The 26201-nt window shown below is 36.6% G+C and overlaps 2 long non-coding RNA genes across 2 annotated transcripts in view, besides 1 other annotated feature; one reads left to right on the forward strand and one right to left on the reverse strand.

Annotated features, from left to right (window-relative positions):
• LINC02506 (long intergenic non-protein coding RNA 2506) overlaps positions 1-26201 on the forward strand; it is a 158028-nt gene that overhangs the window by 118553 nt on the left and 13274 nt on the right. The gene's annotated exons all lie outside the window — the stretch shown is intronic.
• Positions 17714-18273: an enhancer, noted in NCBI's record as "OCT4-NANOG hESC enhancer chr4:32135267-32135826 (GRCh37/hg19 assembly coordinates)". NCBI's record gives its function as "activates a minimal SCP1, AML or CMV promoter by ChIP-STARR-seq in primed H9 embryonic stem cells {active_cell/tissue: H9 hESC(primed)}" and the evidence as "EXISTENCE:reporter gene assay evidence [ECO:0000049][PMID:30033119]".
• LOC124900845 (uncharacterized) lies at positions 20533-24847 on the reverse strand. Its single transcript, XR_007058441.1, has 2 exons — positions 24764-24847; positions 20533-20669 (listed from the first exon to the last, which is right to left on the reverse strand). It is a non-coding gene; the product is annotated as an uncharacterized LOC124900845 (long non-coding RNA).

Below are 26201 nucleotides of genomic sequence, written 5' to 3' on the forward strand. Positions count from 1 at the left end.
AGTCCAAAATGCCCCTCTACCCTTTCTAGTATGAGTTTATTTATGGTGGGGTTCACACTTAGACATTACAAAGCAATTTGAGAGTAGAAACTTCTTGATTATTATATATTCCACACTTTGACATTCATCCCATCCAAAAATTCATCTTTGTTCTTTTATAGCCTTAAGTCCTCCAAAAACCTTTAATTTCATGGACATAAAAATCACCTTTATTGCAAACTCATATTTTACAGGTTTACATAATATTTAATTGGGTTATTTAATTAATTAATTTATTTTTTTGAGATGGAGTCTTGCTCTTGTCAACCAGGCTGGAGTGCAATGGCATAATCTCAGCTCACGCAAACTCCACCTCCCGGGTTCAAGTGATTCTTCTGTCTCAGCCTCCCAAGTAGCTTGGATTACAGGCGCCCACCACCATGGCTGGCTAATTTTTGTATTTTTTGTAGAGATGAGGTTTCACCACGTTGGCCAGGCTGGTCTCAAACTCCTGACCTCGTGATCAGCCCGCCTCGGCCTCCCAAAGTGCTGGCGTTACCGGCGTGAGCCATAATTGGGTTATTTTATCACAATAACAAGCATAACTGGCATAAAGAGGTTTGAGAATAAAAATCTTACTCTGCGAGCATGGGACTGATCTTCTAGCAAAGAGAGTTTTCTCTGCTGTAAGCATTTCCAGGGAGAATGGGGACCTTGAGCATTAGTTGGTTAAGTAAAAGCTAGTTCATACACCTTCTTTCTCTCTGTCTCTCTAGTTTTTTTTTTTTTTTCCAATTTATATCTGAGAAAGTATGAGTGTACATTTGACTTGGGCTACACAAGTAAATGTGATGTAACTTTAATGAAAAAAATAAATGTTTACTGTGAAAACTTCTCATAAAGACTAAAACTTTTTTTGTCCACTGCCAGTCTTGAAGAAGTTGCTACAGAATGCCAAATATTAAATGTGGTTGAACTGATATCCATCTACTGAGCATATAATATTTTATAGTAAGATGAAACACCATAGCATATATATGGAGATAAGTTTATACATTCAATTATTTTTATGTTTATCCTTATTCATAAACAAAGCAATAGACTTTGGGAAACAGCAAGATACATTGAGAACTCCTTTCATATATACTTTTAAAATTTTATTTTTAATTGACAAAATTGTATTTATTTATTGTGCACATTTTGATATTTCCTAAAGGAATTGCAAAAAAAAAAAAAAAAACCACTTGTAAATACATTTTATATTTGTATTGGTCCAATTACAGAGAAGCAAATATTGCCTACAAGTATGTAACAACCTAATAAGGAAAAAAACACATATGAAGCAAAAGTTATTTTTATCATATCTTTTTCATAATAATTACTTGAATTTTTGATGGCTTCAAAACTCAAAAAGCATACTATTATTTTCATATGTGTATTTGCATATTTGATTTTGAGAAACAAAGATAAAATGCCATTACATCGCCTGGTGTTACATTCATCTTTCATAATATCAAAATTTCTCCATTAGCAATTTCAGTTTAAACCTGCTCAAATTTGGGGAACTCAATGAATATCAGTGTTCTTAACTTGTTTAAAGAGAATAAAAACTATTAGCTATATCTGATAGGTTTTTCTTTGAGAAGATACATGATTTAAATAAAAAATTATAATAAAAAGCTAAATTTGTTATGAAAAAACATCACATAGTTTCGAGGTAGGTAGTCAAATAAATCCTTTAGTGTTTTAGGAATTACTATTTCTTTCATTTGCTAATATATCTCCAATGTATAGATAATTCTCATTTCTTTTTATTGGTGCTTAGCATTTTCTTTCACGAAAGTAATATTTTTTACATTTAGGAAGTTTTGATGAAAGACCAGCAGTCTTACATGATTAAAGCTGAAAAAGCCAACGTATTTTGGATTTGGGTTCCCAGCATTAGAATGCTCATTCTAGGGAAGGAGAGACATTAGCTACATCCAGTGTCCAAAGGCAGCAATGACAATATGACTCCATAGAAAGCCTGGTACATAGTTTGATTTCATTCTGGTTGTTAGCCACCATGATTGCTAGCAATTTTCTGAGTGTAATTCACCAGACTTACTGAACATTTTCATAGCTATTCCTTTCTTGGCTTAAAAATTACTTTTAAACTAATAACGCTTCCTGATGCACAATTTGTGTTTGATGATTATAAATGCCTTCATAGTATAGAGAGAAAAGAAGTGTTCCTAGAGGTTAGATAATTTGGTATCAAGTCCAAAGTGTATTATTAACTTGACCCATGACCTTGGGAAGACCCCTGGACTCTTTTTTTAATAATATGTGAAAAAAAAGAATTGCCTAGAATACATCACTGATGAGTATGCTTCCTTATTAGCTTGACAATTTTCAGTCCAACTTTAAAATGTATACTACCAATCTTACTTTATAGTCTCCTGAGAAAATGGCAGGTAACTTTAAAAAAGCAAAATGAAATTTATCGTAAGAAATAAAAAAAAGCAAAAGACTTATTACAGTAAGTTATTTTTAAAAAAGGTCTGGCTTGAGAAGAGTGGAGGGGGGAGGGAGAAGTAGAGGGGGGCAGTAGAGATTCCCTCAAATACGATAGTATGGCTATTCTCAGGATACCTAAATATCACAGCTCTGCATTCCAGCTGTAATAATAGATGCTAGTTTGGAAATTTACATAAAATTAATTTTTCTGTCTGTAGTGCCCTAAATCAGTCATCTGGATATCTAAAATGGGTCATTTACTGTCATGACAACAAAAGCCACAAGTTTGTTTTTTGCTATTCTGATACTAGCACATGTATAATCAAAAGTTACTGATATCTTACTCTTGTTTATTCCCACAGTGCAATGTGCATGAAATGACATAAAGTTACAGGTAAAAAATAACGCAAAGTTTTTCTTTTTTTTTTTTGAGACGGAGTCTCGCTCTGTCGCCCAAGCTGGAGTGCGGTGGCGCAATCTCGGCTCACTGCAAGCTCCGCCTCCCAGGTTCACGCCATTCTCCTGCCTCAGCCTCCGGAGTAGCTGGGAGTACAGACGCCCTCCACCAAGCCCGGCTAGTTTTTTGTATTTTTAGTAGAGATGGGGTTTCACCGAAAATAACTCAAAGTTTTAAGAAAATAAATCTATTTCAAAAATCTCTCACCTAGGTTTGATTAGCCTCAGAGCAATGACACTTTGGACCACCAGAGAGATTTTACAGTAACAGAGAGAGCAAGAAATAGAAAGCACCCTGTCTTCTCTGTACATTCAGGGCAAAATCGGGGAATATTGAGTAAATAATGCACAGAATGAAATTTTAACATTCCAGTTCCAGTTTTTCTCTTACCTCTCCGTGTGACTTTGGAAAAGTCATTTTTCCTCTCCGAGTGTCTGCTTTTCCAATTGTGAAATGAGAATGGTGATATTGTCTATTTCTAATGCCTGTGTTTGCTTTGTAGTTGAGGCGGTATAATGCAAGTGAACACATTTTTGAACTCTATTGTGCTGTGTAAAAAGATGGGCTTCAAAAATTTATAAAGGTGTTTCTTTGCTGCTTTATCTCAACTGTGCCAAGACATTACCATTTAGTGGCTTAAAAAAGCAAAAATGATTGACATTCTACTTTTCAGTGAAGAGGTACTCTAGTTGTCAAAATGGTTTTGTTTTCTTTCCTAAGAATTTCTTACTCTCTAAGAACGTTAGACTGTTTATAGAGTATTATTAAATGGTTTAAGGAATCTTAGCCATAGTAGATTTCCCAGTGGCATGATCTTTCTATATGTTTCTTATGCAAGTCGGGCTCAGTGGACACTCTAAGAACCACAGTGGCAGATGTTTAATAATATTTCAAATTACACAGAATACACATAAAGTGCCTGGTAATAAAGTGCTTTTAAACACACTGAGAGTTATAGAAAGTCCATTATATTGTTTAAAGAACAAAGAACACCACAATTAAATTTTAAAATATCAGAAATCCCTTCAGCAATTATCCCCCAGAAATTTTGTGATAGAGATTTTTATTCTGTATCTAAAACCTAAGAAGCTTAATGCCTTATACTCAGATGGAAAAAGTGGAAAAATGCATAGAAATGTAATTCTCAGGCTCTCCTTCCTCCACTGTATGCAAATCCCTTAGTGGTATATAAATGATTTCACAGCCAAGGTTCTCACAGTAAATAATTTACTTTCCCACCATATTCTTTATGGGTGCTATATACACTCTTTATGAGACAGCAGTAAAATTCAGTAGGTTTCTTTATTTGACCAACTTTGTTCATCCCAGGAAGCAACACATATACACTTAACTGCTTCTAGAGTAAGTCTCAGTTTTATTGCAAAGCGGAGGAATAAAATTTTCTTTTTAATCAAATCTTAGTGTTAATGAAATTATCATATATATTGTATATGAACCAGTAATTTTCCAAACTTAATAAAACCAATGATAAAACTATAGTGAGTGTGATTTCATTGCAATGATAATCTTGAAGTATTTTTATGGACTCACAATATATTAGAGACATCAGTATGCTCATCAGTCATCATCATTTTTACTGAAAGATTTGATGAAATGATAATTAATAGAGAGTTCTGATTGATGAATTTGTGAGTAAGCCAGGGTACAACCATAAAAATACAATTTTTATTTAAATGGAATATTCCCAGCACCTCTTAAAATATTACCCATTCCCTTATTTTTTTTTCCTGCCTTCTTACCTGAGAATGTAATGAAGAAGGGAACAGGCATTTTGTGGCCTGAAAGAAAACACTATCAGCCAACTTCAGTCTGATGAGAAAACTTCCATCCAGTTAATGTCACTTTGCTCTTGTATGGCTGCATATCCTCCCATGTTGCATTATGGAAAGTCCCTAAGTAGTTTTTTTTTTTTTTTTTTAGAATGAGTGGATTATAACAGATACACTATATCCCATCATAGAGTGATGTCAAAGAATGTGCAGTCTCCATCAGTGCCTGGTCATCCCCAACTCATCTCTACCAAAAAAGAAACCACACACACACACACACACACACAAACACATGAGCCAAGAATTATAGGACGTAAAGCACTTTGAAAAATCAGACTTTTGGTCAGTCATGGTGGCCCACACCTATAATTTCAGCACTTCAGGAGGTCAAGGCGGGAGAAAAGCTTGAGGACAGGAGTTCGAGACCGGCCTGGTCAGCATAGCAACAAACTATCTCTAGAAGAAGTAAAAAATTAGCCAAGCATGGTGACACATGCCTATAGTCCCAGCTACTCAGGAAGCTGATATGGGATGATCACTTGAGCCCCAGAGTTCGAGGCTGCAGTAAGCTATGCTCATGCCACTGCATTCCAACCTGGGTAACAGAGTAAGATCCTGTCAAAAAAAAAAAAATAGCCCACAGACTTTGGTGTTAGAAAGCTATCTTCAAATCCCACTTCTTCACTAACTAATTTTGTATTAATAGCTTTGAGCAAGTTACTTAATTTTTCTGTATATCAGATGTTTTTAGTAGGGGTTAAGTGAGACAGCATGTATAATGAGTTTTGTAGTTTCTCTAAGCAAAATGATAACTTTCCTCAAGTACTGATTGGAAATTTTTGGTAGCCCACAGAATTCTTGGTCCATATTTTCCTCCAGGCATTTGTGCAGTAACCAGCCCCTCAGCTGTGCTATGTGTTTCTCACTTTCTGTCTTGGAGGTTTTCTAACTCTACTGAGGTTCACACATAAGGAAACCCACTTATTAATGACAGAATGACCTGGGAGTATGAGGTAGTTAACATGCTATGGAGTAGCTGCTGAATTATGAGAATGTGATGGTTGGTGAAAAACCTCCCTTCTTTTTTTCCTTCCCTCCTTTTTCCTTCCCCATTCTGCATGTTTCCTTGGACGGTCCTGGTGGGATCAAGCCTCAGTTGCCCTCAGTGCATCAACTAAATAATTCCATAATAAAGCCACTGTAATGGCTTTTTCTGCTTCCTGTCTGGCTTTCTCCCATTTATCTCCTGCTCCTTGGAATGATTTTTTTCAATTCAATTACAGCATGCAAGCTTTTATTTCAGTCTCTATTGGATTGGGGTATACCGTTCACCAAAATAAGATTATTAATGCTCTTAAATTATTTCAAGAAACAATGAATTGGGGCGAATAATAATTGAAAAGTGTATTAATTGCAAAATTAGTAACCAGTCTTCTACATCCCTGGTTGCAGACCCTTCACAATGTGACTTTATAGCATCTCACTTTAAGAGATAAAGTTCACAGAGCTCACTTTGAGAAAAGGACAGTGACAAATGCAATGTTGATGCCAGCATACATTGGAAAAGAACCTTGAAACTGAGGTTTCCTCTCTCTTTCTTCTCATGGAAAGCACATAGCTATTATAAAATGAGTGAGTCTAGGCTAGCTATCTGGATGATGAGAGACACTTAGCCAAGCCATCCTTGTCAACCTAGATAACATCAATCAACAACTAGACATGGGAAAAACACCATTCTATACCAGCCTGGCTTGCGGCTGGGCATAGAAATCAGCACAGTTGGTTTAGACCAAAAAAACCTTTGTAGTCTAGCCAGAGAATTTTGAAGAAAATAAAGGTTGCTTAAGACTCTCATTTTAGAAGCAGTTTGTATTTCATTTTATTTTTATTTTTTGTAGACATAGGGTCTCACTGTGTTGCCCAGGCTGGTCCTGAACTCCTCTCCTCAAGCAATCCTCCCATCTCAACCTGCCAAAGTGGGAGGCTCCACGCCCAGCCAGGGTAGTTCGTTATGCAGCAAAATTTCCCTAATACAGAGCGAGTACATATTGCTTACTATCGCTTTTTTATTTCACATCAAGTAAGACTCTGGGATTCCACTTATTCTTTTGAAAATATGACTATTTAAATTTTATTGTATTTGACAAGTCAAGCTGCATTATGCTTTCTATAACTTTTCCTTTTTTTCTATTATTGTTCAATCTTAACTATTATAGATTAATTTTATAGCTCTCCATTGCACCCTTTTGTAATAGCCTCCCTTATTTTATAGAGGTATATGATATTTATGTCTATATCCTCACTCATCATTCCCACTCTGGGGAATGCCAGCTATCTATCATGTCATAAAGACACACAGGCAGACTCAGGAAAGGCCCATGTGGTGAGGAACTAAGGTCTGCTGCCGATAGCTTCTTTTGAAAAACAGGCCTTCTATTACTATGCTGAACAAATTTGGAAGTGGATTCTCCCCAAGTTGAACCTTCTGATGACCCTCTAGACTATAACTTCATGATAGACCCTAATTCAGAAAAACCCAGCTATGCTGCTCCTCAATTGTGAGGTAATTATTGTTTGCTCTTTCCATCTGCTAAGTTCTGAGGGGTAATTTGCTCTATTGCGATAGGTAACTAAAGCAAGGCTCAACAGAGATGGTCCATATAATGTAGATAAAGTACTTGCCCTAGATCTCCTTATGAATCTTAATTTGTACAATTAATTTTCATTCCTGGGCTTTTTCAGAAGCTGCTGTCTATGGCAAGGGAAATCAGGCTCAAAAATCTAATCAAATAACTAATCATCAGTGTATGCATTCATCTGAATTGCCAGATAATCCTTAACATCAGGATAGTGTTTTTGTATAACTTATTTTTTTTTAAATCAGGGGAGTAAAGTATTTGTTGAAGATATTAATAGGATATTAGCAGGGAATTGCAGGGATCTGCTCACAGCCTTTTGGGACTTATTGACTTACACCTGTAAGCAAAACACATTGGCTCTATTTTTAAACACACGTGAACGTATGTGCCTGAGCACATGCATACACACAACGCACTGTAATTCTTTGGTACATACTGTCAAAACAGGGGACTTATCTTTTTTTATGTAGCTCATTTCTTTGTGACAAATTGTCTATGTCTTGGCTTGCTTCCAATTTTAATACATCATCTGAGCCTACGATTTCTGGAAAACTATTTCACCAATATTTACAATGTAGAAATCGGATGTGTCCTGAGTCTCATTCTCCAGTCATCCTAGCCTTTGCTATCTAAAGTTATAGCCAACTAATTTTCATTCATCTATTTATCCATACAATTATTCTTACATTTATTCTTGAGGCATATACCCTGCAATTTATTGGTGAGTGAAACGTTTCTAGGAAAGCACTTCTGTAATTTTAGATTTTCTTGTATATTTATATTTTTATAGGGACCTTCTTAGTGGTAGTTCTATAATCCAAAGCAATGATTTTCAACAGCAGAAAAATCAAGATTTCTCTTTCAGTGAAAGCAAAGAGTGATGAGAAAATATTTCACAACAGACAGATATTTCACATTCCTGAAAGAAAAAGAGGTCAATACACGCTCAGAGTGAGAAGATGAGTTAGGCTAATGAGGTAGTTTGAAGCAGGTGTCCCAGTCCCTGTAGGAATCTGTCTACATGCTGATAAAACCATTATTTCAGGAATTCTGCTTCGTGAAATTAAAACTAAACAAATAAAATGTCTCCTGTTAATGGAGATGCCAAGGGTGGGTGACATTTTTGGGTTTGTGGCCCCACACTCTAAATGATGTGAAAATGCGTGATCCTTGCTGAGAGCACTGCTGAGCTGTTTGCTCCATTCCACAGGCAACCAGGCTGATGTATTCTGCTCACACAGGGAGAGCTCACAAAAATATCTACGACACCTTTAAATATCAAATGGAAAGCTTAAAATATAAACTTTTGAATGCTTTTTCATTTATGTCTACCTTTGTCTTGTCTTCCGCTCTCCCCAAGAATGTACCCCAGGCAGATTAAATCTCAAAGATAAAGAATTCATTTCCAGAATATGTTTCCTTGGTACGTTAAAAACAGCTTTTAGGATTCTATTTTCTGGTTACATGTTATTTTCCCTTATCATTCCAACAACTGTAATATTAAGAAAATTTATTGTGTAGCCTAGGGCCTCGGGAACATAGGACCAATATGCCATATGACTGTAGATTCGGGGATGCTGTTTGCAGCTAGCCAAATTATGTTCATTGGGATATGGTTTACTACTTTAACCCTGTGAAGTACCAAAAATTAAATATACATGTTTTAGTGGAAACCCAGTGAAATACCCATACTCTGAACAAGTAGAGAAATTATGTTTGTGTATAAATTATATTTTGATAACTGGAAGCATCTCTTTTTCTGAAGTTTCTCTTGCCTACTGCAAGCAGAATTATTCTCTCATCTGTGTTCTTATAATACTTTACACAAAACTCCGTGAGAATGTACGTTATAGTATTGATAGCTTTTATATAGCTTCTTCCCCCAGACAGTGACTAACTGCAAGGATTTGTCTTCACTATTTTATTCCCCAAACACATCTAATTCCTCAAGAATTTATTAGACACTCCAAAATATCTAAAAAAGGTTAACTGCTGCTTTAATTTTAATTTAGGAGTGTAAGACAAAACATCTAAACATTGGATTTGTCAATGAGTGGCTATTTTCTACATTTGCTAATTTTGTGAGTAGTCCCAATTGTAGAGTGTTGGAGCAGGATCAGGCAAAGACTAAAATTAGAACACATCAGGAAATTGTAACAGAAGGATGGGGGTGCCATGGGCCTTGGTCAAGCATGAGGGCACACGAGATGCCTTGTGGCAAGATATGTAAACGTATCCATAGGGCCTGGCCAGTGACATCATTATGTACTTGGCTCTTGACAGGGGCTACTCCAGACTCAGGAAACAGATCTGAAAAATACACTGTCCTCAGTTTACATGTTCACATTTGGCTGTGGCTCCAGCCACTCGGGTTCCTTGTTTCTGCCTGTGCTCTTGCCTTGGTTTTCAGCCTTCCTAGAATGACGGTAGTTCCTGTCAATCCTTTTAATAAATGCGTTCTCTATTTAAGTCAGCTAGATTTGGTATATGCTGCTTGTAGCTAAGAACCTTGCCTGAGGTAGTTATGACAAGTGTTTAGGCACAACCAAACTGTTTCATTTACTAGACCTGAGGTGCAACGTAAGGACTCTTCACAAGAAGCAAGATACGAACTTTGTTGATTCATTCGTGTATCATATATACCTAGCAAAATGCATCCCAGCACATTTGTTGATAGAAAGACATTTTTTGTATAAGTAAGTGTTTGGGTGAAGGAATGAATATATGAACTGCCAGAGGGAAAAGCAAAAGTGTATTCTGTGCCACTCAACTAACTCGAATTATAATTAAATCTTCCTTAAATTTTCATATAACTCCACACAGTATATAAAGCAATGAAGAAATATTCAGGGTCTTTTTAGACAAGGAAGGTTTAGTTTACTAATTAACTGAATCCAGTGTATTTACATGCTCTTGGACAACAAAAAACTGACGGCTGTTATTTGCCAGACTAGATACAGCATAATTTTATTTTATTTTTTCAGATTGAAACTAGAGTTCAGGTCTGTGAAATATAGCAACTTATTAACAATTACAAGAAAATAAATGCCTTCTTTGGCAGAAAGTGTTTTCAATTTGTACAGAATACTCTCATTCTTGAAATTACTTAGGCTCTCAGTACCCCTTCCAATTCAACATTGACAACTTTTTTTTTAAATTAATTAATTAATTAATTTTTTATTATACTTTTAAGTTTTAGGGTACATGTGCACATTGTGCAGGTTAGTTACATATGTATACATGTGCCATGCTGGTGCGCTGCACCCACTAACTCGTCATCTAGCATTAGGTATATCTCCCAATGCTATCCCTCCCCCCTCCCCCCACCCCACCTGTGATATTCCCCTTCCTGTGTCCATGTGATCTCATTGTTCAATTCCCACCTATGAGTGAGAATATGCGGTGTTTGGTTTTTTGTTCTTGTGATAGTTTACTGAGAATGATGATTTCCAATTTCATCCATGTCCCTACAAAGGACATGAACTCATCATTTTTTATGGCTGCATAGTATTCCATGGTGTATATGTGCCACATTTTCTTAATCCAGTCTATCATTGTTGGACATTTGGGTTGGTTCCAAGTCTTTGCTATTGTGAATAATGCCGCAATAAACATACGTGTGAATGTGTCTTTATAGCAGCATGATTTATAGTCCTTTGGGTATATACCCAGTAATGGGATGGCTGGGTCAAATGGTATTTCTAGTTCTACATCCCTGAGGAATCGCCACACTGACTTCCACAATGGTTGAACTAGTTTACAGTCCCACCAACAGTGTGAAAGTGTTCCTATTTCTCCACATCCTCTCCAGCACCTGTTGTTTCCTGACTTTTTAATGATTGCCATTCTAACTGGTGTGAGATGGTATCTCATTGTGGTTTTGATTTGCATTTCTCTGATGGCCAGTGATGAGGAGCATTTTTTCATGTGTTTTTTGGCTGCATAAATGTCTTCTTTTGAGAAGCATCTGTTCATGTCCTTCGCCCACTTTCTGATGGGGTTGTTTGTTTTTTTCTTAACTGGCTAGCCATATGTAGAAAGCTGAAATTGAATCCCTTCCTTACACCTTATACAAAAATCAATTCGAGATGGATTAAAGACTTAAACATCAGACCTAAAACCATAAAAACTGTAGAAGAAAATCTAGGCATTACCATTCAGGACATAGGCATGGGCAAGGACTTCATGTCTAAAACACCAAAAGCAATGGCAACAAAAGCCAACATTGACAAATGGGATCTAATTAAACTAAAGAGCTTCTGCACAGCAAAAGAAACTACCATCAGAGTTAACAGGCAACCTACAAAATGCGAGAAAATTTTTGCAACCTACTCATCTGACAAAGGGCTAATATCCAGAATCTACAATGAACTCCAACAAATTTACAAGAAAAAAACATTGACAACTTTTTTAAGACCAGCGAAGGGTCTGAGATTTTACTTTGGTACCAAACTCACCACTAAGGCTACCACGGTTTCATATCCCCTAAAAGCTCAATTTCAACACATTTTTATAATCACACATTTCTTACTTCCTATTGGGTATTTTCTACTTACATATTTTCAGACTAGATTAAATTAAACATAGTTCAAATCAGCCTAATTCTTCCAGCTGTATAACAAGTCTTTCTGAGTTAGTTGTTTCTCCTTATAGGGCCATAATTTCCATGGTTATTTAAGCTTAGGACACTGGAAATACATTGCATGTATTTATCTTCTTTGCTCTTATGTAGTCAGTGGATTCTCCCTGTGCAACACATCTCTGACCATAATCCATGGTGATGATTTCACTCTAGCAAGTTCATTATAAAATTTCCCCAAATTTTGCTTTCACTATACATGTTGCCTGTTTAACTGGCTTCATGAATTCTTCAGAATGAAGTATGGTTTCTGTAATGCACTTAAAGCTCTCTTTACTATTCATTCACATCATCTCTTATAATATACCGTAAACATGCTCATTTTATGTATCTGGAATAAAATACTGATCTTGTGTTTTGGTTGTTTAAATGCCTGCACCACTTTGATTATGCAAACACAGCTCAATGTTTCATTCTGTGGTCTCATGTATCTTTGGGGAGACAATTCTCTATGGGAGACAAGGTTTCTGCATATTTTGAATCAGCTGCTATTCTAGGCTATCTCTTCAAAGATGTTTGTGTAGCAAACTGTCTCATAAGATAGAAAAAGTGTCTCTTTCCAGAGCAGAGATATTTATTCCCTAACCAATATAACAAAGACAATGTTCCATTTCAAGGCAAATGGTGCGCAGTCTGGTAGCAGGCCTTTTAAAGAACTGGACCTTCCTAAACTTGGGATTATTCATTTGTGACACAAATCCACTGTGTATACAATAATGACCTAGGTCACTCCAGATCACCTATATAGTATTTGGAAGCAAGAGTTAATTGATGTGAAGGTCTATCTCATGCTGCCTCTTGTTCTATAAATAGCAATGACATTTGTCTCTGACACAAGAGTCTCGTGTTTTGTACCACGATCTGTGAAACTGTGGCAGGAAACTTCTCGGTTTGCAAGGGGAGTAAAATCTCAGACCCTTTGCAGTTCTTGGCACTACCTACAATGATGGTCACTTATGTTATTAATTGAAACCTACACTTATTTTGTAATCCTATATATTTATTTCTCACATAAATTTTAACTTTCTTAAAAGTAGGAGATACAGCATATATTAACCACTCAGCAAACAATATAGGAATTCAAATTATTTCTTTCTTACAATTTTGTTTGGTTCCTCCACCCCCTGACCCCACTAGAGTGTAACATCTGTGAAAATAGGGACTTGTCTTATTTATCTGTTCAAGACTAGTATCTGTAAAAAGTGCCTGGGAAATGCTATATACTTTCAACATATATAATAAATGACAGATCAGACATTCCAAGTTTCTGAACTTGTCTGAAAAAAGATTAGCTTTTCTAGCCTAACAAATTAAAAATTAAAATTACTAGTAGAAAGGACTTTGAGGGAGGCCTGATTTGATGATTTGAAGAAAATATTTTGTGTGGAATACACAATGCCTTCACCTTCTGGAAATGATTGACTAAGATCTGCTATAAGCAGGAGGACTATTCCAGGAGGAGAATTTTAAAAAGTAGGCTTGAATAAAGAATATCTTATATCCATGTAGACAAAATCTAATAGAAGTGCATGCATCCATGTAACAGAAATAGCCTGTGGTTCTCCAACATCCATTCTTCCTTAATAGGAAACTTCCAGCATTTTAACTAGGCACATAGTCTCTCAGAATAAAGACTACATTACCCAGTACACTTTGCAACAAAGTATTACTTGTTACTAAGTTGAGGTCACTGTGATAATATTGCATTGGATTCTAATTAGTGTCCTAAAATCATGCGTTTCCTTGTGTCCTTCCTTCTTGTTTGCTTGAATGCCGATGTGGCAGCTTTAGCCAAGACAAATATTTGGATTGCGTGATCTTGGACAATAAAGTTGGCCCTTGAACAACATAGGGGTAAGGGGTGCCTACCTCCTATGCATTTGAAAATCTACATATCATATTTGACCCTGAAAATCTTAACTACTCATAGCCTACTGTTGACTAGAAGGTTTTTCAATAAGAAAAAGTCAATTAACACATGTTTTGTGTGTTGTATGTATTAAATACTGTATTCTTACAATAAAGTGAACTAGAGAAAACAAAATATTATTAAGACAATCATAAGGAAAAGAAAATATACTTACTATTCATTAAGTGGAAGTTGATTATCATAAAGGTCTTCATCCTCATCATCTTCATGTTGATGGACATGGCTAGGATGGCCATCAGATGGCTGAGAAAGAGGAGGAAGAGGGCTTGGTCTTGTCACAGTAGTGGCAGAGGAGAAAGAGGTGAAGGAAGTGAAAGGGAAAGCAAGACAGGTGTGCATACTCAGTGTAGATTTATGGAAATACATTGCAATTTCTGCCGGACATTTTTTTCGTTTTTTTTCTCTAACAATATTTCTATATGATACCAATCCTTCTTCCACCATGTCCTTCAGTTTCAGTGCCCAAATAATACAAAAGTCCATATCCTAAAAAAAGGCAAAAGCAGTCTTGAGTAATCAGAACCCTCTGGTAGATTATGTAATTGTCAGTTTGTGTTTTGGTACTGCTAATTCTACATCTTTTTCCTCACCATCTGACACTAGTCTGAAAGCACTCATCTCTATCAGTAAGGAAGAGAAGTGAGCACCGGAATTAAATTAAATTAAATTAATTAATTTATTTTGTATGCTGTCTGCTAGCTCTTGAATTTCCCCAAGATTCATATCTTGAAACTTTTTATCCCCTACCTTGTTTTGCCATATCCAGCATCACTTTCATGATTTTCTTAATTGTCTCTGTTGACAATTCTGTGAGTCATGCACAACACTTGGACAGTTTTCTCCAGCAAGAATTTATTGTTTTAGGCTTTATGGCTTTCACAGCTTTTTCTATAAGAAGGACAACATCTTCAATAGTGTAATCCTTCCAGACTTTTATGATGTTCTCTCTTTCAGGGTTCTCTTCCATAGTGATGACAACTGTTTCCATAGAGTACCATGTATAATGAACCGTAAAGGTCCTTATGACTTTTAATTAGAGGCTGAATTAAAGCCATGTGTTTCATGGCAAATAGACTACTTTAACGCTTTTGATACTGAACTCAAGGGGGTTCTCAGTGGCCAAAATCATGGTATAATATCAAAAAAAACTTTAAAAGGCATTTCCTTACTGGCAGGGTACTTCCTGATTTCAGGGACAAAACATCAATGGGAGCCTATCCAGAAAAAGTGTTCTTATTGTCCAGGTCTGCTTGTAATACAAACAAATGACTGGAAGCTGGTGTGTATATTTTTTTCCTTCAGGGCTTCGGATTTAGTAGCTTTATAGATAAGGGCAGTCCTAATTATAAACCTGACTATATTTGCACAAAACAGCAGAGTTAGCCTATCCCTTTCTGCCTTAAATTCTGGTTCTCACTTATCTTCCTTATTAATGAATGTTCTTTGTGCCTTCCCCCCACTCCACACCCAGAACAGGTCACTTTCTTCTGCATTAAAAATCTGTTCAGGCAGATATCCTTCTCCTTGGTGATTTTCTTATTTACTGCCTCTTGGTCAGCAGAAGCTGCTGCACTTATCTTGACATTATTTAGCCTAATCTTTTTCTAAACTTATCAAACCATCCTTAGCTGGCATTAATTTCTCCAGCTTCCTTTTTGCTTTAAATTGTCATATAATGACTTTACTTTTTCTCAAATCATGTTAGAGTAAAATAGGTACATCTTTCTTATAGCAATCCTTCACCAACATGAAAGCTGCATTTTCAATACAAAATGTAAAGGTGTTTCACAAAATGTGCAAGGTTTTCACACATGCTGGTGTAGCTGCAGCACAGGCTTCATAAATTTCCTTTTCCTTTTTACAATGGTCTTTGTGTTGGCTTCATTGATCTTGAAATTGTGGGCAATCTCAGCTGAAGATCTCAATCTGTGGTACATATAAGGCAATTCAAACTTTTCTTGTTCTGTCATGACTTTGATTCTTGGGAGCACTTTCAGCATTACTAGTGACACTTCATATGGGTCCCATGGTATTACTCAAGGTTTAAAGTATTATACTAAATACAATGAAAAATACACAAGAACCATGAGATATCACTTTTCACTGCTATACGCAATTTAATGAAGAGATGAATGGCTCACACAGAGATGATGAGGATCACATGGCAGATGTTTTAAGCACATTTAACACTTGAGCTTACCACAATAGCAACAGGAGGTGGCTATGAATTTATTATAGTACAACAGTACACACTACAGTTAATTTTATGCAGGTATGTTTTATGCATCTTTACTTTCATTTACATTTCTCTTGACTGCAAATGACACCATGTATGGTCTGTAAGTGTGTGCATAATTTTGATAACTTTAACTTTTTGTAATAGATTTGTGTGTATTTCATGGTAGCAAATTTGTGTAAATTTCATGGTAGCAAAATGGTAAAATCAATTATTATCTAGACATACTTTATGCATTCATGACATACCTAACTTTTGGTAAGTTTTCTTTTCAAATTGTCACAAATGCTCCCCCACATTTTCCAATATACTTATTTTTAATAATGTATTTGTGGGTAGACTGACACATTTCAAACCCATGATGTTCAAGGGTCAACTGCATATGTGTTATCTGTGTCTTAGTAACTCCATATGTAAAATTGGAATAGTATTCTGATTATTTTGAGTGTTAAGTGAGCTATAAGTAAAGCTGTTTACTATGTTCATGGCCCATAGGAAATAGTAAAAACATATTTGCTATTACTATTATTAAAATTATGTTTTTTAAAGGTAATAGAGCAAACAATATAGAAAGGGCCTGGCCTTCTAGGAGCTGCAATTTTAGCCCTAAATTTTCTTTTTCTATATTAAATTTCTATGAATGAGAAGAAAAAACAAACACTTCTATTTTGTGTAACCTATTATTACTAGCTACTGTCAGTTTAGTTTTTTGTTTGGTTTTGTTATGTTTTCATTGTTGGTCATTCTCAAAGTAAAGTTAATTGCTTAATTTGGCTAATGTAAATTTAAGAATGGTTATTAAATTTCCAACAAGTAATAATCAATAAAACAAGAAGATTCAAAAATTGAAACTCATAGTAATGGTTATAAATTATTTCTATGTGAAGACATTTTTGAAATCCCCAGAATATGCCAATTTTATAAGGTAAATCTATTTTTAAGTGACAAAAATAACATTCAGACTTAGAAAGATAAAGTAATTAGGCCAATGAAGCAAGCTAATCGGAAACAAAGCTGTATATTCAATCAATATACATCACCATAGTTTAAACTCTGCCCTTTATTGACAGGTGTTCTGGCATATTTCAGATAGGTGGAGTGTGGTCAGAATATTTTTTACAAATGTAGCCTCAAGGAAGCAACAAAGCCATCTCTGCAAAAACAAAAACATAACTGGTTATTCCTCTCTAGAGCTGATTGCCTGGAGCAGCTATTAGTGCTGTTGTTTTGGACATTTTTGGTGAGTTGTGCAATCACATTGTAAGTTATTGTTGTGCGAGCAGTCTTAGCTGCTGAAGTTTCATTGTAGGTGGTTATGCTGTATTCTATGGCAACACAGTGGAGTAAATCCTCTTTCCCATGGCTCCTTTCTCATTTACTGAAATGATGACCAGAGTAATTTTCCTGTAGATAGATCACTTTCAGACATGGGGAATAGAACAATGGACTAGCTGCATTGTTGTTTGTTTGTTTGTTTGTGTGTCTCAGAATCTTCGGTTTTCTTTTTGCTACCTTACTAATTTTTAAGATTTTTTTTTAAAAAAACAACAATTCCTTAAGATCCTTGGTTTTATATATATATATATTATATATAATTTATATATATATTATATATATATATGCAACAAAATATATGTATATTTCCAGTTATATGAGGAGACAAAAAAATGTGAGGAACTTAGACAAATTCATCAAAAGGCAATCAACTAACATTGTTTAAGGATCCAATTCTATGCAATTCAACAGCACAATAGGCATGTGAGTAGTTTTCTTTTGAACCAACTTGACTGGATGCTGCTCTCAAGGACAGGGAAGATAAGCTGCTACCCAGGGCTTCTCTGTGGGGAGTGCTGAAAGAGAATCACACAGCCATAAGCCCTTCAAATGAATGTAAGAGGCAGGCTCCTCTCTTCCCATAGAGAACTATTTGGAAAATAAATTACTTATCTTTGATAACTCAATGTTCAATTTGCCTCTGGTGCCCTTTTGGAGGTGAGAGGCAGAAAAAGGTGAAGCAGTTACCTTGTAAGAACCTATCTTGCATCCTCGTGCACAGTGATGTTAGGGAGTTAAGCCAGAGCGGTTGCAGGACAAGAGACGAGTAAGTTATTTTTATACGCATGTGTGAGAGGAGAAACCGATAAAGGGTGGATATTATTAAATCTTAAATGATGATGTTCAAATTGAACAGAACACCCTAGTAGTGCCAAAGGGAGAGAATATTAATAAAGAGAAAAATCTAAAAATTTTTTTTTTTATGGATCAACTTAACATTTACTTTAAATGTCTATTGTACTCTGGGTCTGTTATTTGTAAAATATGCTGATTATGTTTCTGAAATAGACACTTTTTATTTAACAACATTAACGTACAGACTCATTCATAACTGGAAGTATGTTAAAGCAGCAAAAATAGTAATTGAAATAGCTTTCACCTCTAATGCTCTCAAAACTTTATATTCTTTTCAATTAGTAACTTTTGGCTTCTAGTGAGATAGCAAGAATGAAAGAAAAATGGATATAGAAAACTATAGAGGAATGAGAGTCTCAAATTTTGCTCCAGAGTATTTTTTTTGAAAGCAAGAGAGTGGAATAGACAAAGCTTTTTCCCATCCCGCATAATTGGAGTTGAAATACTATCTTTCATTTGTAACAAAAAGTAAATATAATACAGCAGATATTCTCTCACACACTCCACTGACTTCTTCATGTATCTTAAAAATACATGAAAAATTATTACTAAGGTTCTATTACTTGGGCATTTTAGTGAAATAAAAGAAACAGAGACGACTTACTTGTCTAATTTTGCTAAAACATACGACATCATTAGCACTTCAGACATTCTTATCTGACTTTCTCCCACATTTCTCTCTTTCTTTTCTCATTTTCTCCTATCCTCATCCTCACTGGCTTAACTACCAACACACCAATAATTTCAAATAAGATAAAAAAAATTCAAAGACTTATTCCATGGTGCTTATTGCCAAATTATCTAAAATGAAATAATTATTAAATAAAGAATTCTAATTAGGGACACAAAAATGTGAGTATGTTGAAAACAAATTGGTTTTGCTTTCCACCACCTATGTGACAGTAGGGCATTTAACCTTTATGAGCTTCAATTTTCTCATCCGTAGAATGGAGATTATCATTTCTAGCTAATATAGTTTTTAGTAAGTTTAAGCAAGGCAACATTTACAGTGTCAGTTGAAGCTCTTCACACCAATTCTAAGATATTGGGGCTGCATTATTCTCACTATTGTAGATGAAGAAACTGAAGTCTTTGCGAGTTTTCCTCACTTGCCTGAGGTCATTAAACATGCAGGAAATCTGACTACTCATTAGAAAAACTATATTACACTATTCTATAGGACAACATAATAACATTTCTTCTCAATCATGCTGCTTATCATGTAGTCTGAAGAGTAGTTACTGATGCTATAGTAATTTAAGCCCCATCTTTATGGAAATTTGCTCCTTCGAACTCCTTCAAAGAAACATAAAAATAAAATCCAAGAACTAATATAAAACAACACAAATTTGCTTAAAGACAGGGTTACTATGGCATATGTTCTCTTTGAGTATGGAACAGAATGTAAAACTGTTGGTTTAGAGCAATCCACTTTTAGCTGGATTGCATAATGACTCAAGGGCAACAACATGGTGTTTTATAGTCATAAGTTAGCAATACTTGTGAAAAAATGCCTTAGAGTTCTGTAAATAAGATTCTTTTGGTCTACTTATTGAGAAATAGTATGATTAACTCACAGTACACACATGCACATACCTGTATATTTGTTTTTCTAAGAGCTTATCCATACAATTCACTCATTCAACAAATATTTTTAAATAACACTTTGTGTCATGCACTGTAATTGGCAGAAAGAATAGCAGGGTGACAAAGACACAGAAGATACTTACACAGTTATGAAACTTATATTTATATGTTGGAGACAAGCAATGCCCTATTAAATAATTAAAAATAAAACAGTTACAGATTGTGAAAAGTTTAGTGAAGGAAATAAAATCATTAATTATGGTAACTGAGTAAACAGGAAAGGTATGGTTTTAGACAGAATGGTCATGAAATGTGTTGCTCATTCTGGAGGTGCTATGTAAGATACCTGAAGGATGAGAAGGAGCCAGGTAGGTGAAGAACTAGAGTATGATTAAGACAGAGGAGATAGAGAGTTCAGAGCCTCTGGGGAAGGAAGTGAATTCTCATGCTCTGGGAACACAGGGAGACCTACATGCCTGGACAAGAGCAATTCGGAGAGTGATTTGAGATGATGTTGGAGAAATTTACAAGACCACAGTTTCTTTAGGCAGTTCAGGCTGCTACAACAAAAATATCTTAGACTGGGTTGCTTGAACAGCAGAAATTTATTTCTCATAGTTCTAGAGGCTGGATCATCCAGGATTGGGGTGCCAGCAATGGTCAGGTTCTGGTAAAGGCTCTCTTTTTGGCTTGCAGATGGCCACCTTCATGTTGTGTACACACCTAGTGGAAACAGAAGGAAGCACGGTCTCTTTCTTTTATTATAAAGGCACTAATCTCATAATGAGGGCTCCTCCTTCATGATTTCATCTAAACCTAATTACCTCCCCAAAACACAACCTCCAAATACCAACTCACAGAAAATTAGCACATCAACATATGAATTTGGAAGGGGTCACAAACATTCAGTTCACACCAATAATCATGCAGGAATCTCAGACCATGATATGGAAATGGTATTATAGTCTCAAGAAATATAATACACCAAGAAACACAATTAATTTAAACATGCAGTCTAATAGAATATATATGTAATAGACACAGATTTTCATTATTTCAATAAAATCAGAAACTGAAATGTAGCTTTTTCTTAGTTGATATAGCCAGTGCAATGTTCTGTAAATCCATCATCTTGCTAGATAGTGAAGAAAGGCAGGGATATAGAATTGCTGTGGTAGTGGTAGAAACTTCATCCTTTACAAACTCAGTCTTCTTGACAAGAATTACGTATGGTAGACTAGCAACTTTTACTCAAATTGGTTGCTTTTTTCTTTTTCTTCCATTGTAATAGAATTATGTGGTAATATGGCAACGTACCTTAGAAGCTAGATTCCATAGCCTGCTTGCATCCCATATTTCTCCATGCGGCATGCATAAAATGATGTGTGCAACTTACAGTATCACCTTTTTTTAAGGGAAATTGTTGGACTTCAAACCCTTCTTTCCCCGTCTTTTGAGCTAAAAAGCATAATGGTTTGAAACCTTGTTTCAAATATGTAGATAAAGACGATATCCTGACAGTTTAGGGAATTGAGGTGCCTAAAGATGGAAGAACCAGGGGCCTGAATGACCCTATAGAACACATCTTCCCTACTAGTCAAGATAACACTTCTGCAGTGTTACAAGAACACAGGTTAATGAACAAAATATAGGCCTATATTTCATGTAGGGGTAAATGGGACTTCATGTCCCAGGGAAAATGAAGGCTTGGGTTGGTAGGCATGAGATAGGGGTCACAGTTCTATCATCAAGGAGAACAGTGGCTATATTTCATCTTCTGGGCCTTCTCTCTGAGAGATGCCTTTAATCTAACTAGCCACTGACTGCTCTGCCTCAGTTCACTATTGAAGTATGGATGAGTAATTCTTAGTTATAGCAGGGGTGTCCAACCCTTGGGCCATAAAGTTGTACCAATCCATGGCGTGTTAGAAACCAGGGCGCACACCAGGAGGTAAGCAATGGGCCATTAAGGGAAGCTTCATCTGTATTTACAGCTACTTCCCATTGGCTGCATTGCCATCTGAGCTCCGCCTCCTTTCAGATCAGCAGTGGCATTAGATTCTCATAGGAGTACAAACCCTACTGTGTACTTCTCATATGAGGGATCTAGGTTGCCCACTCCTTATGAGAATCTTCTGCTTGATGATCTGAGGTGGAGCGGAGGTGGTGATGCTCATGCTGGGGGGTGGCTGCAAATACAGATTAGCATTGGCGGAGAGGTTTGACTATACAGAGACCATAATAAATCAATTGCTTGCAGACTCATATCAAAATTCTATCACTGAGTTGCAAGTGACAAGTTGCCTCTGGTGGCAGGCTTTAAGTCAGAATTCAATACTTATTTTAGTCTGCACATGGTCCACCCATTATTTTATTTACCACTTTCACCTGTGCCTCATTCCTGCACTGTGCACTTGTCTCAGTCATAGAATTGGTAAGCCCTCAAGCTAACCCTAGCCAGAATAAGTAAAAAACAAATGTCACCAGAGAGCTTCTTTGAAAAGAGAGAAAAATCCAATGATGAGGCAGCAGAGGACTTTAAGAGTGCCAACAAAAAGATATCTACATTTAAAAGAAAATTCCAAGAGTCCTACTTAAAATATGGGTTATTTGCAAAAGGTGATTCACATTCTCTGCTTTGTATTCTGTGTTGTGACTGGCTATCCAAGGAAGCCATGAAACCTTCAAAATTGCTTTGCCACATGGAGTCTAAGCACCCTGTATTAAAAGAGAGGCCCTTGGAGTTTTTCAAAAGAAAAAAAAATGTGAACACAAAGAAAAACTGCAATTATTGAAGACCACCACTTCATCAAATGCATCTGCAGAAAGAGCATCACTCTTAGTGGCTAACCACATTGCTAAAGCTAAGAAGCCCTTTACTACTGGTGAAGAGTTAACCCCACCTGCTCCTAAGGACGTTTGCCGTGAACTTTTAGGAGTGACTGCAGTTCTAAAGGTGGCACATGTTCCTCTTTCAGCTAGCACCATAACTAGACAAATCGATGAAATAGCAGAGGATAATGAGGCACAATTGTTAGAGAGGATTAATGAGTCACTGTGGTACGCAATCCAGGTTGACGAGTTTACTGATGTTGACAACAAGGCAACAATGCTTGTTTTTGTGTGACATATTTCTCAGGAGGATGAGGATATGTTATGTACACTTTTGGTGCCAATCAACACCACAGCTGCGGAACTATTCAATTATTTGAATAATTACATATCAGGAAAACTGAATTGACCATTTTGTGTTGGCATATGCGTGGATGAAGCGGCTGCTATGGATGGCTTTCTGGTTTCATTACTTGCATCAAAGAGGTTGCTTCTGAATGTGAGTCTACACAGTGTGTCATCCATAGAGAAGTGCTGGCTAGCCAAAAAATGTCACCTGAACTTAATAACGTGTTTCAGGATGTGATTAAAATGATCAACCACATTAAAGTACATGCCCTTACTCACGTCTGTTCACGCAGCTCTGTGAGGAGATAGATGCAGAGCACACGTCTTCTCTTATAAACAGAATTGAGATGACTTTATTTTCTTTCTTTTTTTTTTTTTTTTTTTTTTTTTGGTTGAGATGGAGTTTTGCTCCATCACCCAGGCTGGAGTGCAGTAGCACAATCTCTGCTCATTGCAACCTCTGCCTCCCAGGTTCAAGAGATTCTCCTGCCTCAACCTCCCGGTAGCTGGGATTATAGGCATGTGCCACCACACCCAGCTCATTTTTGTATTTTTAGTAGAGATGGGTTTCACCATATTGGCCAGGCTGGTCTCGAACTACTGACCTTGGGTGATCCACCGGCTTTGGCCTCCCAAAGTGCTGGGATTACAGGCAGGCCTTCTAAAGGTAGACCACTGCCCAGAATTTTTGAGTTGTGAGAGCCACTCCAAAGATTTCTTTTAGAAAAACAGTCACCACTGCAGCACATTTCAGTGACACAGAGTGCGCTGCAAAACTTGCTTACCTGTTTGACATATTCACCCTATTCAAGGAACTCAATCTGTCACTTCAGGAGAGAATGACAACTGTGTTCAAGTTGGCAGATAATGTGGCTCCATTCAAAGCCAAACTGGAATTATCAGGGTGATGAGTGAATATTGGGATTTTTGACATGTATCAAACATTAGCAGAGATTTTCAAAGAGACTGAGCCAGGGCCTTCTTTCTCCCAACTGGTTCATAGTCACCTATCAACTTTGCCAAAAGACCTAACCACAAAAGACCCCCAAACTGGGAAAGAATGGATCTGTGACTTACATGTGAATAAGCCAGGTGAATCAACTTTGGCCATGCTAGAAGAGGACCAACTGCTTGATATCGCAAATGACAGTGGCCTTAAAAATATGTTTGATACAACTTCAGATCTCCATATATTCTGGATTAAAATCAAGGTAGAATATCCTGAGATTGCCACAAAAGCACTGAGGACCCTGCTTCCATTTCCAGCACTCTGTCTTTGTGAAGCAGGATTTTCTGCAGTGACCACAATCGAAGTGAGATACAGAGTAGACTGAACATAAGCAACACATTTTGGGTATAATTGTCTCCCATCACCCCCAGATTGGACTATTTGCAGGAAAACAAGCTCAGGGCTCCCACTGATTCTACATCATGCTGAGTTGAGTAATTATTTCATTATATATTACAATGTAATAATAATAGAAATAAAGTGCACAAAATATAATGCAGCTCAATCATCCCGAAACCATCCCCTTCACCCCATCCATGGAAAAATTGTCTTCCACAAAGCTGGTCCCTGGTGCCAAAAAGGTTGGGGATTGCTGAGTTAGAGCACAGATGTGTTGCCTCAGTCCTACCTTAGTAGTGCAAATTCTTCAGAGTCTGAGCTTCATTCTGTACTTGGTCCCGCCCTTAAGCTGTTCAAGCTACTGGTAATTCTCTCAGCCCTTGTCCAAGTAAGCCCCCCAGGCAATGACTCACAGATAAGTTTCGTGTTGGCCACAAAACATTTGTAATTTCTAGACTTTAACTACACCACATAGTCACTGCAGGAGGCTTGTGAGCAATATCTGAGGCTCCTTCTGTAACTAATCACTTCCTGCTTATTTTGGAGAAGCTGTGCATGACAATGGACTCTGCTAAAAGGGCAATTAGTAAATGCCTTTTAATAATTTCACCTTCAATCTCCTGTATAATCTCCCAGTCCTGTGTGTGTATGTGTGTGTGTGTTTTGATAGGGAACCAGAGCTCTCATGTTTGACTACTTTATTCTTTCACTTTTCCTTTCTGTGTTCCAGTCTCTTAGACAGAAATAGTTTTGTTTTTTTTTTTAATTTTCTTTCTAATTGGGTGAGAGTATTCCTTATATTATTTCTGTCGACTTCATGAAGTAGTTTTTGCCCTTGACTTACTGTAGCTATGCTATTGAATGGCTTTAGATGGATCTGGTTTGCTGTAAGAATGGAAAACTATCACCTTAATTCTTCATAATATTGTCTCCATGATACATGCTTACATATATGTACAGATAATATGTATGATATTAATTTTTGTTACCAACATTTATCGGAAAATTTTCCTAAAACAAGTAGGTGGATGCTTTTTAAAAATCAACCTTAAGATTGCCATCTTCAGTCTTTTTTTCAGCCTTCGCCAGAGATTGCTGGGTCCATCCGCAGACCCTGGCCGGGCTACGGATGAAAGGAGTACTCAGACACAGGTATCCAGTGAAAGAGCAGTTAAGGGACTGCCCGGCAGTAGGTGGCCGAAGAGTGAGCAGTCTCAATAAGCTGGAGCTCTTTGCTTTTATTCAGTACAGACCTAATGCCAAAAGCCTGGAACCAACACAATCTGTGGGTAATTAACATTGTTGTTCCCCCTTGTGGGAGCAGTCTCGAATGGGATGATCAAAAGTTGGTTTCTGGACAACATAAGTAAACAAGCCTATTTAGATAAACTCTCTTATATTTCCTTGTACCTACTCCTCACCCTCTGCTTCAGGGTAAGAGAACAGCTGCCTTCAGCTTATTCTCCTCCAAAGTTTTGCAGAGCCTTCTGACATTTCAAAAGGTCTGCTTCTTTCCCTACAGCTTCTTCCATCACGCTGACCAATCCCCCATAAGAGATAATGCAAAACTTCACTTGCTAGCCTGAACATAATTTTGTGCTCTATGGCTATCAAAATATTTAAATGATGGACAAATTCTTGTATGAGTAAATTATCCTTATGTCTAGTAAGGATGACTATTCAGTCTAGAGAATTCTAATTATGGACTCTTGACAATAAGACTTTGA

Source organism: Homo sapiens, chromosome 4 (genome assembly GCF_000001405.40).
Source record: "Homo sapiens chromosome 4, GRCh38.p14 Primary Assembly".
Taxonomy (NCBI): Eukaryota; Metazoa; Chordata; class Mammalia; order Primates; family Hominidae; genus Homo; species Homo sapiens.